Source organism: Homo sapiens, chromosome 11, assembly GCF_000001405.40.
Source record: "Homo sapiens chromosome 11, GRCh38.p14 Primary Assembly".
NCBI classification, from domain to species: Eukaryota; Metazoa; Chordata; class Mammalia; order Primates; family Hominidae; genus Homo; species Homo sapiens.
The window spans coordinates 60170121-60187350 of record NC_000011.10 but is presented as its reverse complement, the minus strand read 5'-3'; the positions used below and the strand labels follow the sequence as shown (position 1 = coordinate 60187350).

At 40.7% G+C, this 17230-nt stretch overlaps 1 protein-coding gene across 13 annotated transcripts, besides 1 other annotated feature; it reads left to right on the top strand.

Moving 5' to 3' along the window:
- Positions 1882–2041: an enhancer, noted in NCBI's record as "active region_4763". NCBI's record gives its function as "activates an Ori minimal core promoter by ATAC-STARR-seq in GM12878 lymphoblastoid cells {active_cell/tissue: GM12878}" and the evidence as "EXISTENCE:reporter gene assay evidence [ECO:0000049][PMID:35858748]".
- On the top strand, positions 2685–15744 carry MS4A6A (membrane spanning 4-domains A6A). 13 transcript variants are annotated; one of them, NM_152852.3, is made up of 8 exons: positions 2685–2809; positions 4020–4373; positions 5610–5770; positions 7386–7520; positions 9035–9091; positions 11740–11949; positions 14222–14323; positions 15098–15744. In NM_152852.3, the coding sequence occupies exons 3-8, from the start codon at positions 5624–5626 to the stop codon at positions 15191–15193; spliced, it is 747 nt and encodes a 248-aa protein (NP_690591.1). In that variant the 5' UTR covers positions 2685–2809; positions 4020–4373; positions 5610–5623; the 3' UTR covers positions 15194–15744. The 13 variants fall into 13 exon arrangements, with proteins under 13 accessions (NP_690591.1, XP_005274234.1, XP_024304420.1 ...); XM_005274177.4 differs by lacking the exon at positions 2685–2809 and adding an exon at positions 2904–3031 and having other exon boundaries at positions 4020–4215; XM_024448652.2 differs by lacking the exon at positions 2685–2809 and adding an exon at positions 2904–3078 and having other exon boundaries at positions 4020–4215.

Below are 17230 nucleotides of genomic sequence, written 5' to 3'. Positions count from 1 at the left end.
CAATTAAGATTTAGATCCCCTGTTAGGAAACCTGCTGGGTTAAGGGAATTTTTAGTGGTTAATGTTAAATCATCTTTTTTTTTTTCCCTTAGGATACTTCTGAACTGGTGAGGTGTGCTCACAATGAGGTTTCCTCTAAAAGTTATTTTTCTACTTTCTTCTGTTAGCAAAGTAGTTGCCGCTACAGAGTGAATGCATTTGTGCCATCCGCAGATTACTAGGTTAAAGATTTTTGATAGGAAGTCTACAGGTTGTCAGTGGCCTCAGTGCTTTCGGGCTACGCACTTGTTTACACTTACAGCAAGGTGGTATTGGAGTGTTGTAGGGTCACAGAGAAGACCTTCAATTATCAATTATAGGTTTTAAATTTACCCTGTCTTTTAAAGGAATAGGGTACACTGTTTTTTTCTTAACTACTTGTATATCTCTTTCTTTCTGTCTTTGACTTTCTGTGTCTTTCTCTTTGACTTTCCTTTTGCCTCTGTATCTTTCTCTCTCTCTCTCTCTGCCTCTTTCTTTCTCTCTCTCTCTCCTTGACTCCCTCTTTGTCTCTCTGTCTCTTCCTCTCTCTCTCTCTGCTGGTCTTTCCTTGCCTCTGCCAGCTGCTTATGCTGCTGTTCTCTCAACCACTGTGAGTGGGTGGGGTCTAAAACCAGCTGTACCCAAGTGTCTATATACGGGAACTGGTCTGGGTGCCCTGGCTTACAAGTTACCTTGTGCCACACCTTTGAAACAAGGGACCTGTCCAGGCTTCCTTCTGATGGCCAACCCACCTCCAATACTGGCCAGTCTATTTCACACAAAGTTCTAGTTTTTCCTGGTGTCATAGTAACACTGTAATCTCCCTTAAATCCTTTCTTGAAATTTTTCAACATAGCTCCTAGTGGTCTTACTTTGTGCCTGGCCCATGCTTCCTGAAGACAAAACACCATGCTCACACTGCAAAACAAAAATGGGTAAAAAGGGCACACACACACTTTTGCAGTTTACACCAAACCAGAATCAAAACCAAAATCAGAGTGTCAGGAAATCCAAGCCGGGTCAAAACCAAAACCAAAGTATCAAGCAATCCAAGTCAAGTCAAAATCAAAAACCAAAGTGCTGGTACAGGCACACCATGGGTGATCAGGCCATGCTTCCACTTAAATGGAGTGGGCAAGTTCCAAAGACCAGTCTTACCAAGTTTTAGATGTCCGGACTCCAAGTGCCAGTTCCTTCATGGTGTTCAGCCACTGCATTGATCCTCCACAGGGGCCTGCTGTGCACTGCTCTGATGAGGCATTCCACTGGGGCAATTGCCTACCTGGGAGTGCTCTCAGGATCTGCTTCACTCAAGCTGGCTGGAGTCCCCCTCAGGTATGCTCCACAGGGCAGGCCTAAGCCACCTAAGGAGCTGTCTCGACCATCCATTAATCACCTTGTTTCCTGGTCAGGGAACCAAGAAATGTAGCAGGACAAGCCACAGACAAAACCCCTCAGACACCGAGTTAAAGAAGGAAGGGCTTTATTCGGCCAGGAGCTTTGGCAAGACTCACATCTCTAAAAACCAAGCTCCCCAAGTGAGCAATTCCTGTCCCTTTTAAGGGCCTACAACTCTAAGGGGGTCCCCATGAGAGGGTCTTGATCAATTGAGCAAGCAGGGGGTATGTGACTGGGGGCTGCATGCACCAGTAATCAGAACAGAACAGAACAGGAAAGGGATTTTCACAGTGCTTTTCCATACAATGTCTGGAATCTATAGATAACATAACCGGTTAGGTCAGGGGTCAATCTTTAACGAGGCCCAAGGTGCAGCACAGGGCTGTCTGCCTGTAGATTTCATTTCTGCCTTTTAGTTTTTACTTCTTCTTTCTTTGGGGGCAGAAACTGTGCATAAGACAATATGAGGGGTGGTCTCCTCCCTTAGAGACAGAGCAAACATGGAACAGAAAGTAGGATGGTGGTTACTAGGGGCTAGGAATAGGAAGGAAAGGGGTGGTTGTTCAATGGGTATAGAGTTTCAGTTCTGCAAGATGAAAAAGTTCTAGAGGTCTGTTACACAACAATGTGAACAAAATTAATACTAGTGGTCTGTACACTAAAAAGTGGTTAAAATAATGAATTATATGTGTTTTGTACCACAATTTAAAATTTTAAAAATAAAAGTTGAGAAATTGATTTAAAGAAAATATTGTTCTGTTTCTAGCACACCTGCCTTTACACAGAACACACAAAAACCCTTTTGCTCCTAGGTCAGTAGCTCTCAACATGAATGTGAGGGGATTTTGTTCTCCCTCCATCAGGAGACATTTGACAATATCAGATACTGTTTCTGGTTGTTACACATAGGGTGGGATTGTGCTGGCATAGGCCAGGGAGTCTGCTAAGCATCCTACAGTGCACAGGATAGCCACCTACTGTAAAGAATTACCCAGTCCAAAGTGGCATTAGTAGCTTTTTTGAGAAACCTGTCCCAGATCATTAATCAGAACGTGTTATTGATATACCAGTCTTCTCCCTTGTAGTTAGGTTGGTAGAATTCAGACTCTGGAAAAAACTGGGAATGTAAAAGGCTGAATGAGTGTAAGCTGAAAGACAAGAGAAAGGAGAATTGTTTTAAGCTTACTAAAGCCAAAATGGAAAAAAAAAGAGGGGGGAGGATTGGGGGGTGAGGAAGACAGTCAACAGACCGCTTTTAGGCCATCATTCCGAAGGGTTCTGTGCTAGGAACCTTACACGTGTTGTCTCACATAATCCTTAAAACTCAGAAATGATTTTAAATTAAATAGCACAGAGAGGAAAACTGACTGGAGAGGGAGCCTTTGCTTAGGTAGGCAACTTTAACTGGTTTATTAGCACATTCCCCTGAAGGGAAAGGGGGTGTGATTGCTCCTGAAGAGACCAAAGAGACTGGGCTCCTTTTTAATCAAAGCTCAGGAGGAGAGCTGCATTCCACTGTTTCACAGATGCTGTGAGGGTGACAAAGATGCAGGGCACCCACTGGAAACACAGACGGCACTCTGCGAAAGAGGAAGGGGCGCCAGGAGCTTGGGTGAGCAAGGTTGGAGGTGATTCTGCCCCTCTCCCCAGGCTTTCTGTGTGAGTCCATTCCTCCTCTCAGATTTATTGTTAGAACTTAAGACAAGCCAATTACATTTCATAATGTCTGTGTCATTCAGACGCTGAGAACTAATCCAGCCTTCTAAATGGTGCTTCTTAACTCCTTTCTTCAACAGGAGAGTTAATGTGTGGAATTAAGTGCAGAATCCATGGCCCTCTGTGGTGACGGTGATGGTTCAGGTTGTGTTTCTGGGTTCATTCTGGAAGCTCCCCCAAGGAAAGGAGGAAGGAAGCTTGCAGGGTGGGGCTTTGCCATTGCCCTGACTGGCTCTGGTTTCCTTGCCTGATACATTGAAGTCAGCTTCCAAAGAATGCCACCCAAGGTTTTGAAGGGGCACAGTGCCTCTGTCCTCACAAAACCAGCCTGCATATGAGTTTACTGAATTCATTTAGGTCCTGCTGAATCTTTCCCATTTGTTCCTTCTCTGTTTCAATATTTCAATGCTTCCCTGGAGGGGCCCAACCTTTCTGGAGGGCAAAGATCTGTTGTTAGAGAAAAAGAGCAGCCAGAGGAGGAAGATGACTTGAGGGTAGGCAGCAGTTGGGCAATCAGTATTGAAAGGTTGCTTTCAGCCTGCCAAGACTTGGGGAATTAGAAAAGCAAGATAAAACAAAACAAACAAACAAACTATATATATAAAAAACAATTTTTTAAAAGTTTTTTTATGTTCTATATTACTATTAGCTATATATTAATGAATGTTCCTTTAAAGCAGTGTAGTCATTATTGCTATTATTATTATTATGGTTAGTTATAGACAGTGGAATATTGTTCTTTCTCTATATTATGATTACTAGCACTATTACTGTTATTAGTTACATGTTATTGAAAGCTTCAAAGCAGCATAGGCTTTTTATAAATATTTTTGCTCATCTTTATGACAATTCTCCAGTGTTGGTATTGCTCCTCTATTTAACAGATTAGAAAACTGAAGCTTCAAGAACAGACTTGCCTAACAACAGGAAACTTGTATGTCTCGAAGTGGCAATTCACACATAAGGCTCCATGACTCCTGAACTCTCACAAATATTAGTTGGCTCTTTTCATGGTTTTACTGAAGTTGCTAGAAGTTTACAGAAAAGGAAGTGCAGGAACATTTCACAAATCTACAATCTGTGAGTATCACATCCTGTATAGCTGTAAACACTGGAATAAGGAAGGGCTGATGACTTTCAGAAGATGAAGGTAAGTAGAAACCGTTGATGGGACTGAGAAACCAGAGTTAAAACCTCTTTGGAGCTTCTGAGGACTCAGCTGGAACCAACGGGCACAGGTAGGTAATGCTGGAAGACTTTTCTCATCTCACTATTCCCTTGCCGTGACCTCATTAGAGGAGTAATTTAACTTGAAACTCCTTGACAGCAGTTAAGAGACACTAGGGCCTTTTGGAAATAGAGTGGGCAAATGGAAGGAGTATCTGTTTTTAACTCTGTGTCCGCTGTATTCTAATTGCATAAACTCAGTGAGTCACTTACCTAAGGTTGTGTAATTAATGGGAGCAGAGCTCTTGTCTCTTCAAATGTGTTTAGACCATTTGTAAACTGGGCGGTCTGTGCTTTGAGAATGGTGCCGTGAAAAGGGATCCAAGCTGAGCTTAGCAACAAATACCACAACCTACTTGGTCTTTATGCTAAAAAGTGGGGAGGACCAACGACGCGAGCCTATGTGTTATGAGTCCAAGACTTGTTCTCATACCACTGCATGCAGCTGTTTCTCCAGCCTGAGTAAACTCAGACACAGGCTGGCAATGCCAGGTGGGAAATTAGGAAGAGGTAGAATGATCTAGAGATTTATGCAAAGGCTTCAGACTCCAGGAAAGCTGAGATCCAAGACTGGTTTTACAGCTTCCCGGCTGTGTGAACCAGGGTGAACAATAAGGGTAACTGCAAATATTTCTTCAGCATTAACTCTGGGCCACACATATATGCAATAGGTATATTATTTGCATTCATAACTTAAACTTTATTTTGCATTTTCTTATTTATTACATGTTTTTACTAACTTACTAACATGCAGAGCTGTTGTAAGGATTAAAAGCACTGCAGGGTAAAAATTAAGAATGTGTCTGGTAAAATATGATAAACATATCTGAGTGCTAATAAATAGTATTATTAAACAAGAAATAAGTAAGCAGAGTTCATTTATTAGTCTGAAAATTCATCAAATATATGGCAATACAGTTGTTGTCAGTAGGACTAGAGGAAAGGGAGGTTGTTGCATATTGCAAATTTTGTGTGACCATTTGCCTCTGGACATTGAGACCTCTCAAGATTCATGTTGCTGCCACCCTGTGATGTGTTTATTATCTATAATGGACTGTGTCAAACATTATGGAAAAATCCTCATGAAACCAAGATTGTGTGGTTTTCACTGTTCCATACTATCAGTTTCTTTCTCTAATGGACAGGCCAAGCCTAGACTAATTGGCAAAGACTGAGTTACTGTTTTTGGAGTCAGAACCTGGGAGCTCTGTACTTTTTAAGAGCTAAATCTATTTTTTCTTACATAGTTGGCAACACCATCATGACATCACAACCTGTTCCCAATGAGACCATCATAGTGCTCCCATCAAATGTCATCAACTTCTCCCAAGCAGAGAAACCCGAACCCACCAACCAGGGGCAGGATAGCCTGAAGAAACATCTACACGCAGAAATCAAAGTTATTGGGGTAAATCTAATTCAGAACGTGTTGGAGAGGGGTTGGGGGAAGTGCCAAGAGATGATATATGTCTTGGGACTGGACATCTGTCGTGAGTGTGGAGACCCTAAAATTTTGCTAGAGGGACTTTAGGGTAGAAGCCACTTGGAGAAAACTGTCCCAGAACTTTTCCACAAGAGGTTGTCTTAAAAATATATTTTCCCTTATTCTGAATATGAGGAATTGATTTTCTATTGTTGTCTTTGTATTTTTACAATACAGTGCTTTTCTATATTTTCTTTTACAAAAGTAATGGTGGTAAATAATGACATATTGTGTGTATGTGTATATATTCCACAACTGCATGCTTAATAATCCAAACTGACTTTTTGCAAATAATTTTTCCCTCACTGCAAATTAGAGGAAATATACAACTCCTTTTCCTCTTTTCTCCTAACGTTTTTGAGAATGGAAATGATATTCACCTTTTGTTTGTCTGTTTCTCCTCTCACCCAGAATTTATTAAAGAAGCTGTATTGCATGAAGGGAGGAGAGAAAGAAGGGATCTATCTTGGATTGGGAGGGAAACACAGAGTTTTGGTTTCTAGAATTGCCTCTGCACTTATGTGATCTGAGGTGAGGCACTCTGTTTGACTGGATTTCAGGACCTGGTGGGACTGGTTTCCTTGCCTCATGTACAATCACATGGGTTTCTATGAGGCTCATGTGACATAAGGTCTAGAAAACTTTTTGGTAAATGATAATAGAGCTGTGAATCTCTGAGGTGGATGTCAGGAAGGAAAACTACCTCCTAAGACAGAGCTTCAGTTATACATGAGAACATGCAGTATTTGGTTTCTGTCCCTGTGTTAGTCTGCTAAGGGGGATGGCCTCTAAATGATGAGAACACATGGACACGTAGAACAGAACAATGCACACTGAGGCCTTTCAGAGGGTGGAGGGTGGGAGGAGAGAGAGGATCAGGAAAAATAACTAATGGATACTAGGCTTAATACCTGGGTGATGAAATAATCTGTACAGCAAACCCCCATGACACAAGTTTATCTATGTAACAGACATGCAGTTGTACCCTTGAACTTAAAATAAAAGCTAAAAATAAAAGAGCTTCCAGAGCTTCAGCTATAGGGTTGTGAACTGCAGTTTCCGAGGAAGTGACCAAAGGGGCAAACTCCATGTCCAGTGGAGTCTGGGAGATGAGGGGAGGGCCTTCTGCACTGCCAATACTGCAGAGAATGTGGGGGCTTTCAGATGTCCCCTGTTTTCAGAGAGATAGAAAGAGAGTTAACTAGTCATGGACTTAGAGGTCCTGAGAGCTGGGAAAGTAAATCTCAGCACTTGCTGTGAGCTGGAAGCAAGTCTCATGAGCAGACCAGGGCCTGAGAGGCAGAAATGCAGAAGCCTTCCTGAGCACCTGCCAGACACCTGAGACTGTGGCTTCTGTGGCAGAGCTGCACACCCTCCAGGATGTCTTTTCATATTTCTCACTCCAGAGTTTCCACAGGGTTTGTATCCTCATTAGGATCTTGCAGAAGGCGATAATGCATTAGTGCCATGGGAGCGGCAAAAAGGCCCTGTCTTTACAAATGCTGGTTTTCATCCTCAATCTCACTTTCTCTTCCCACAGACTATCCAGATCTTGTGTGGCATGATGGTATTGAGCTTGGGGATCATTTTGGCATCTGCTTCCTTCTCTCCAAATTTTACCCAAGTGACTTCTACACTGTTGAACTCTGCTTACCCATTCATAGGACCCTTTTTTGTGAGTAGAGTTTCTGAGGAGGGCAGGATGGGGCAAAGAGGGGAGGAAGATGCCAATAGCTTAGACTTCCCACCTGCCAGCTTGCTATGTTTGATCTGCCAGGAGCAAGGAGTCAACGGTGAATCTTGTTCTCCTGTCGGGTAGGATGACAGGGGTTGCTTGATTTTAGATCAATTTCTTATCAGACTCAAATAAACATTTCTTTTGAAGATCATCTTATTCTTCACATTATCATCTTGAGCTATGATGAAGCTAGTGACTTCTCTCCAGGTTTAGGCGAAAAAAAAATCCATGAATTAGGATAAAGTTGGGAAGGAACATTTTATACAAAAAAAAAAAAGAGCATAAATGGAAGACATCACACACTCACAGAGAAACCACACTGTTATCCCCCCCATGCTTGTGGGGATCATGGAGGAAGGAGAACTTACACCTCTGAGCATTTTGAAAATACTTTTACTGCATTGACTGATTCCCAGGTAAGGCTGAGCAGATATCTATGCCCAGTGATTGACAGGAAATTCCTCTGAAATAGCTGCAAGTCTGGAGTTTCAAAAGGACTTAGTAGTCCTTTCCTCAGAGAACTGCTTTCTCTAAGATGGGGGCTTTCTCATAGGTAAGTTTCCCTTTCATAGATGTTTTTTCCTTCAACTTCCTGCAATTCAGTAGCTATTTGTTTTTCTTACATTTGTGTATTTGATGCACCAAGAAGTCCACCTTTTTGTGTATCTTGTCCATTTTTCTTGTCTTATTAACTAAAGTTACACTTGGATTTGGATTTCATTGGTTTTCCCCAAATGACCTTTTTCTGTTCCAAGATCCATGCCAAGCTACTACATTACACTACATTACATTTTGTCATGATGTCTCCTCAGGGTCCTCTAGGCTGTCTAAGATTTTCCTTTTCCTTGAGAACTTTGATAGTTTTGGGTAGCGCTGGCTGAGATTTTTATAGAATGTTCCTAAATTTGGGTTTGTCTGATTTTTTTTTTTGATGTTTAGAGTATGGTGATGAATTTTTGGGTGGTGATGATGAGGTAAAGCACCATTTTCATCAAGTCGTATCAAGGGTCATGCTACCAACATAATGTCACTGACACAATTAACCTTGATTATGTGGTTGGGGTAGTATTTTCCAGATTTCTCCTCTGTAAAATTACTACTTTTTTTTTTAACCATTGCTTTTATGTCCTTCCCTAGAGAACATCTTACACCAAAACTGTCTCATTTTATTAAAAAAACAAAAATTATTTCCTGGCTTTTAAGGTCTTTTTTTGTTTAGTGGGATATTTTTTGTTTATTAGGATATATTTCTGCTATCTTTTTTTTTTCTGATGTTATCTGAATGTTATATGGACAAAGGGACAAATCTATGTATTTAAATGGAACTTACCTCATTGATCACTGGTTTCTCAGGGATTTTCCCATGAGAGTTGTCTATAAACATTGTGATAGTGACGTCGAAGGTACTCTGTACATGGAATCTGACCTGACCATTTTCTCTTTTATCTTAGTTTATCATCTCTGGCTCTCTATCAATCGCCACAGAGAAAAGGTTAACCAAGCTTTTGGTGAGTAAGAGAGCTATAACCCACAACCCAATGGATCAAAATAAAACTTAGACAGAACTCTTTAAGGCTAGTCTTTCTACTTTGAAAAGTTGAAAACTCAGTTCCAGAGCAGTTGGTTGTTGTTAGAATTAGGAGCTGGGCCTGGATCCTCTGTATCCTTGTTCAGAGAACATTTCTCCAATTATTGTACCCTACATCAAAGTCTGCATTCAGGGGATTATAATATTCCCTCTGCCCATGCCGAAGAATGTATCACAGAGAAATTGTGCCTGTTTATGAGGTTCTTTCGGTGATAACTGGCCTTCAAATTCAGGTTTTCAGTGGCAAGGAAGCTGACAGTGTTATAAAGCGGTCTATTGGTTGGGGTCCATTCTTTAAGCCCAGGTGTTACAACCCTTGAAAAAAAAATGAGTCAAAGTGTTGTTCATGTGAGGTATCCAAAGTAGACACAGAGGCTACTACAGTATACTACATTACATTTAGGCCTGATGTCTCCTCAGGTTCCTTTAGACTTTCTCAGATTTTCCTTTTCCTTGAGGACTTCAATAGTTTTGGGTAGTGCTGGCTGACTGTATCCTTTCATCTATCTCACCAGAAGTATAATACTTTTATTTTGTTTGAGTATAAATTCTTGCACCCTAAAAAGTTGTCCTTAGTCATTTGTATTGGCTAACAAAAAAACAAAACAACAACAACAAAAAACAAAGCTTTACCCGTCTTTATCCCTTATTCCAGCAAAAACTAGAGTTGGAAGTGGCAGGGAGACAAAGCCTGGATTATAGGGAGAATCTTCTCTTGTCTTTAAAGTTTCATTAAGTCTTCGCTCAATCCATTATCTCTCAAGGGGTTGATGTTGGAGATTATGTGAGAGAATGTCATACCATGCAATTGCACCGAGACTCAATTTGGAAGCTCTGGCTACAAAAATCTCCCAAAGCCAGCAAGGAAGTGAGAAACGGCATCCAGAAAAATGCCAATTCTTTTTCTCATCGGTATTTAGAGATTATTATTTGGAACCCTCAGTTAGACTCGGAACTACTAACTAGATCTGTGCTGTTTAATTTAACTTTCTTTGAGGATGGAAATGAAATGTAACTTTCTATGATGATAGAAATGAAATGTAACTTTCTATGATGATGGAAATGCACTACAGCTGTACTGTACAATATGGCAGTCACATGTGGCTATCGATGATGTGAAATATAGTGCAACTGAATAAAAATTTCTCTTAATTTTACTTTAAATATAGATAGTCTATGTGGCTATTGGCAACCATACTGAGTAGCCTGGCACAAGGGTAGTGCTTTCAAACTTTTAGGAGGAAATATATGGGCCTGTTACTCCAGAGAACAATCCCACAGTGAACATGCAGGAAGCTCAAGGATGCAGGATGTGGTCTCGGGGTGGGCTCAGACTTACCAGAGACATCGAGGCTTTAGCGAGTTCTACTCTTGTCACACATTGCACCAGCCCTTTTTGAGATTGAAGAAGAGTGCCATCTCAAGACAAATCTAGCTTATTCTAAGAAATATAGACTCTAGGCATCAAGAATACTACTGGCTACTAGGAGGCCCAGGAGTGTACACTTCAGTCATTATGTTGGGAAATTGGGGTCCCAGAGTATCAACTGGTGAGTTCCTAAAAGAAGAAGTGCCCATGTGGGATTAAGTAACATTCTACTGTATGGCTGTGAGGTGTGCCCTGGAGCCTACCTACCTGTAACTATAGCTCTCAGAGTACTCTTAGCTCAATTCTCTTTTCTGTGTGAGTTGGAGTACAAAAGAAGTCACTTCTGAGGTTAGTTTATCTATTCCCTTCACTTCATAAATGTATAAATGAGAACCAGAGTGGGAAATAAAATCAAGGAACTGATTACCCAAGGGAATAAACCAAGGCAAGTCTAGTACTGTGACTTCAATATTCTGACCTCCAGTTCAGACCTTTTTCTTGTACTTCCCGCTGCCTCCCACACATTACACCATCCTTGGGCCTGCACCTAGACCTCTGCCCACAGCCACCCCATACTGCACTCAGTGTGGCCAATCATATGCCTGCCCATGTTCCAGGGCCTGCCTGAGACTCAGAACCACCCCCTCACTCATCTTTGAGAGGTGTGCTTTTGAGAGAAGCAATGGGCAGGCGAGAGTGAGCTATTAGGTTGGTGCAAACATAATTGTGGTTTTATGGCAAAAACCACAATTACTTTTGCACCATGCTAATACATGATCTATCTTTTCCATGTGGCTGATGCTTCCGCCAGGGGTTTTTGAGTTGAGCGAGAGAGAAACTGCATCTGGTACGTTGCCACCTTCACTTTGGGTCACGCTCTCTTGGTAATGTTGCAGGTAAAGCCTCATGAAAGCCCTGCTATCTGTCCTGGGGAAAGAATTTAGGAGAGTAACATTCTCTACCACACCACTGAGGTCCTGCTTAAGGTGAACCAGTTCGTATAGTCATTCATTCAGCCAAGAATTACCCTGGAGATTGAGAGATTTTTGCTGGACACTGGAGAGGCATACAGCAATAAATGATCAATCCCAGACCTCCTGAGGGGACAGATAAGGGAATAACTTACAATTTAATGGCAAAGATGCATAACAGATTCATGAGTCATTAGCAATGATCCTTACCCAACATTTCTCTTTCAGGTGCATAGCAGCCTGGTTGGAAGCATTCTGAGTGCTCTGTCTGCCCTGGTGGGTTTCATTATCCTGTCTGTCAAACAGGCCACCTTAAATCCTGCCTCACTGCAGTGTGAGTTGGACAAAAATAATATACCAACAAGAAGTTATGTTTCTTACTTTTATCATGATTCACTTTATACCACGGACTGCTATACAGCCAAAGCCAGTCTGGCTGTAAGTATTTTTAGATGGGATGTTCTAATCTTATGAGGTATTCAAAAGCCTTGATTTCTTGTTATTCCTTCTTTTGAAAATCTCTCTATTGGTTCTGGTTTGGGCATCTGGGGGAAAGCCAGGTTTATGTAAATCAAAGGGGACTACAGGGATGAGATTAAGGGGATTACATACTAATAGAGTGGAATTGAAAATGTTAAATAAGGTTGATGATGAAAAACTAAAACTTACTGTTTGTAGAGGTTCTTAATTATCAAACTAATCCAATTTTGGAGGCATAAATTATGAGTTTATCAAAATGAGAATCTTGGTACATGGAGTGGTGAATTAAGAATGGAAACAGAGCAGAAAGACCCAGGAGATCAGAATAGGCCAACAAGGAAACAGTATGTGTGCATGGTAAGGAGTTAATTTGGTTTGAGAAGACATCAGATTCAGTACTAAGAAAAAGAGGATAGGAAATATGGGATGAGAAGATAAGGGCTTCTTCTTCTAATGATCACAATAATGAATAATACTGATCAGGTGAGAATGCAACATTATTGTTGCTTTTTGTTATAGCTGAAAGAAGTGTGATATATTAAATCAGGAGATAAGAAATATAGGGAGATGGAGAGTGTAATTGAGAATGATTGCAGGAGAATTCTATCTCTTTGGAAGAAGAAAAATAATGAAGTTTGGCTAATAGAAATAATATGTCTGAAGTTGAAAGATTAAGGGGCATGTGCATGGTCAGCAACACATTGAGAGAAAAACAGGCAACATAAGAGTAAAGGGACGGCTGGGTCAGTGGCTCACCCCTATAATACAAGCATTTTGGGAGGCCCTGGTGCATGGATCACGAGGTCAGGTGTTCAAGATGAGCCTGGCCATGACGGTGAAACCCCATCTCTACTAAAAGTACAAAAACTAGCTGGGTGTGGTGGCGGGCAGCCGTAATCCCAGCTACTTGGGAGGCTGAGGCGGAGAATTACCTGAGCCTGGGAGGTGGCGGAGGTTGCAGTGAGCTGAGATCACGCCACTGCACTCCAGCCTGGGTGACAGAGCAAGACTCCGTCTCAAAAAAAAAAAAAAAGGAATAAAGAAATTGCAGAATATTTGTTGTCCTGCAATCATAAAAACAAGATAAGCCAAGAACTCAGCTGGAAGATGGACAGATAGAAAGGTCTGGTCAAAGTCATGTTTGTATAGCACTCATTATAAAGAGGGCCTTGCTCCCAAGGTAATGGTATAATGAGAAAAAGTACAAGTAAATGAGGCTGACAGCAATTGGCACAGATTAATACCTGGCACAGCCAATTCCACCTTGGGAAAAATTCTGAAGAGAAATTTCAGAGAAATTTGGTAGTGATAAAGTATAAATTCATGATGGGACGATTTTACATTGGAAATAAGAGAGATTCTGTCAAGTTTGCTTGCTGGAACAATTTCCAGTAATGGAAAAAGTTATATCTTCTCTTTAACTGTGTATAAATACCACAAACCAAAGTTTCATGTGATCAAATTATTTCCGTTTATTATCAGATGGCCAGTTCTGCACAAAGAATGTCTCAGGACAGAAATGATAGAATTCATTCTTGTGAGTTGGTGTTGGTGATTAGCAACTCTGACAGTTTACTACCTTCACTGTTTTTTTCTAAGCCTTACAGTTACACCCCCAAAAAAAAGAAAAAAAAGAAAAAACAACAAAGAAACAACAACAAAAATCAAGAAGAAATACAAAGGGGTTCAGATACATAGACAGGGATGTCAATACTAAATTTTACAAAGGACTTGCACAGTCAAAACCTCCTTGATCCTTACAAATTTCTGAGAAAGAAATGTTAGTATGCATGTTTGATACATGAGGAAACAGGAGCTAGAGAAAGAGAGAGACTTGTCCAGGCTTACACAGCTACTAAGCAGTAAAGGTGAGACTGGAACGGAGCTGCTGATTCTCAGTCCTGGGAGTTATTACGCCACTCTGCTTTCTTACCGAGTGAACAATGTCATCAGAACTATGGATGTCTCAAAGAAGTAAGAAATAAGTGTATGAAGTAGATTAGTTGATTTAATTACTATTCATCTCCCTTTCTCCTCTCAAGGAAATGAGTTAAGGGGTTGAATTAAGACAATTGTGAGGTGTGGGAGGAGCAGTTTTATCTTCCTGATGGTGTCCTTTCTTCATTCTCTAATGGTTGAGGTGGTCTTCATCTCTATGGTCACCTCTCAACTAGGCATGAAGGCTTCAGCTGACCTAAGCAACATCAATCTTTTATTTCTTGACTTTCAGGGAACTCTCTCTCTGATGCTGATTTGCACTCTGCTGGAATTCTGCCTAGCTGTGCTCACTGCTGTGCTGCGGTGGAAACAGGCTTACTCTGACTTCCCTGGGGTGAGTGTGCTGGCCGGCTTCACTTAACCTTGCCTAGTGTATCTTATCCCTGCACTGTGTTGAGTATGTCACCAAGAGTGGTAGAAGGAACAATCAGTCAGTCATGAGATACACATGGGAGGGCATTTGCATTGTGATGGAAGACAGAGAAGAAAAGCAGATGGCAATTGAGTAGCTGATAAGCTGAAAATTCACTGGATATGAAAATAGTTAATCATGAGAAATCAACTGATTCAATCTTCCTATTTTGTCAGCGAAGGGAATGAGACTCTGGGAAGTTAAATGACTGGCCTGGCATTATGCTATGAGTTTGTGCCTTTGCTGAGGACACTAGAACCTGGCTTGCCTCCCTTATAAGCAGAAACAATTTCTGCCACAACCACTAGTCTCTTTAATAGTATTGACTTGGTAAAGGGCATTTACACACGTAACTGGATCCAGTGAATGTCTTATGCTCTGCATTTGCCCCTGGTGATCTTAAAATTCGTTTGCCTTTTTAAAGCTATATTAAAAATGTATTGTTGAATCAAACCCCTATGGACTTATGGCTTTATTTAACTGAATTAAAAAGCCTTGATTTATCCAAAATTGTATTATAGAGTGTAGAATGAATACTAGGGTGATAAATTGCAATTATTTGAAGAACCTGGTGATATGCTCTACTTATCTTGGATTAGCTAAGAATTCTATGTATACAGTTGGAAAAATGGCATATATACATCTATCTTGAACCTGATTGAAGTCTGAAGACCTAACATATTTTGTTTCTTCTAGAGTGTACTTTTCCTGCCTCACAGTTACATTGGTAATTCTGGCATGTCCTCAAAAATGACTCATGACTGTGGATATGAAGAACTATTGACTTCTTAAGAAAAAAGGGAGAAATATTAATCAGAAAGTTGATTCTTATGATAATATGGAAAAGTTAACCATTATAGAAAAGCAAAGCTTGAGTTTCCTAAATGTAAGCTTTTAAAGTAATGAACATTAAAAAAAACCATTATTTCACTGTCATTTAAGATATGTGTTCATTGGGGATCTCTTGATTTGCCTGACATTGACTTCAGCAAAAGCACGGGGCTGTAAATTACCATTTACTAGATTAGCCAAATAGTCTGAATTTCCAGAAAACAAGGCAGAATGATCATTCCCAGAAACATTTCCCAGAAAATGTTTCCCAGAAAACTAGACAGAATGATCATTCAATGGATCACAGTGAAGCAAAGGACACAACTTTTTATTGTACCCCTTAATTGTCAACAGGAGTTAACTGATTTGTTGTGGTGCTCAGACTTTTTTATACAGGTGCTAGTGTTTTATCCTATGTATTTTAACTCATTAGTGCATAAAGGCAAGCCCCATATAATGAAGTCTCAGGGTATATGAAAGTAGCTGGCTTCAAAATAAAATTTTTGAGTGCATATTTTGTTTTAACACTCGTTTTGTTGTTTTTTCCCTTAAACACAGAATAAGTCAACAATGACAGACATAAACCCAAATTGGAACTCCATTTTCTCCCCATCAAATATTCAAACAAAACTAATGAGCAAACAAAAGCTAACCAGGAATACTCATTTTTTATGAAGCATCGACCAGTTCATACTTATTTTCTTATTGCAAGAAAGACCAATTGTTTGTGTATAAATATTAAGTTTCAGCATGTGTGTACACACACACACGTAGAAAAGTATTTCAATTTTACATGAGCTCCATTTCATTGAAAGAACTGGTCATGTTTCCCTTGCTTTTACCCACTGTAGCAGGGGTCATACCCACTGTATCAGATATCCTGATACTCAGCTTTTCTGCTGTTTTCTTTTCCAGGCTGAAACTGGACTGTCAGATTCTTTGATTTTAGCTTTATCTTCAAACTCTCGTTCATTATGTCTTCTCCCTGTCCATTGCACCCCCCACTGACACACACCATTTCTTTTATTTATTTACCTACTGTGGACATTCAACTTTTATTGACGCTTATTGGATACCAGACACTATGTCAAATAAGAGAAACAGAGATGACAGTGAAATTAGGGATATATACAGGGCACTAACTATTATTTGAACACAGAATAAAGCATACCTTCTTCTGCCTAAAAGAATGTAGGGGATAAACAGGTGTGTGTGTGTGTGTGTTTGTGTGTGTGTATGTGTATGTGTGAGAGAGAGTCCTTCTTTTGAAAATCCACATCCCCCATATCAATCACATGGTGCCACCTTCTGCCACAGGAGAGGACTATGACTCAGAGTCCACAATTGGTGTATTCATCTACTGTACTCACACTCCAGCTTTGTTCCTCACCCCCTGCCACCATGTCTTCACCACCACCACAGCACTCTGGATACCAGAAGTCTTACTGATTACCCAGTCAAACTTCTGGTCTTCAAAGTTCCCCCCGGGTCTCTCTTCAGCTTTGACTTGTTTATCAGAGAAGGCATCCAGCCCTTTAGGCAACACTCAAAGCCACTTTTTATCCTAGGCTCAACCTCACTGCCATGTCATCCACTGATATCTTTTCTTTCAAGTAGCAATGCCCCTTCAGCCCAAGTCAAGTGAGAATGATGCCTACCTTGAGATAGAAGATGTATTGAGATAACCTTTGTAAAGCAGTTACCAATATAGCTGACACATGAAAGATGCTCAGTGAACTCGAGTTTTATTGTGTGTTTACTTCCCTTTGCTTTCACTTCCATAGTCCAACTTTCCTTCCCCTTCCACTTCCACCCTCTATGTCTAAAATTAACTTCAACCCCAATACATCGCTGGGATTTGGAACCTGATTATACTCATGAAATCTTTCATTTCTTCAAGAAAGTCTGGGCCAGGCACAGTGGCTCTTGCCTGTAACCCCAGCACTTTGGGCGGTTGAGGCGGGCAGATTGCTTGAGTTCAGGAGTTTGAGACAAGCC

Excerpts from the sequence above, each read along its gene's own strand:
- MS4A6A (XM_005274177.4), top strand. The coding sequence starts at position 4,146 with ATGGTTTTACTGAAGTTGCTAGAAGTTTACAGAAAAGGAAGTGCAGGA. Across the intron at positions 5,771-7,385 it reads CAGAAATCAAAGTTATTGGG|ACTATCCAGATCTTGTGTGG; the intron begins GTAAATCTAATT and ends CTCTTCCCACAG. Across the intron at positions 7,521-9,034 it reads CATTCATAGGACCCTTTTTT|TTTATCATCTCTGGCTCTCT; the intron begins GTGAGTAGAGTT and ends CTTTTATCTTAG.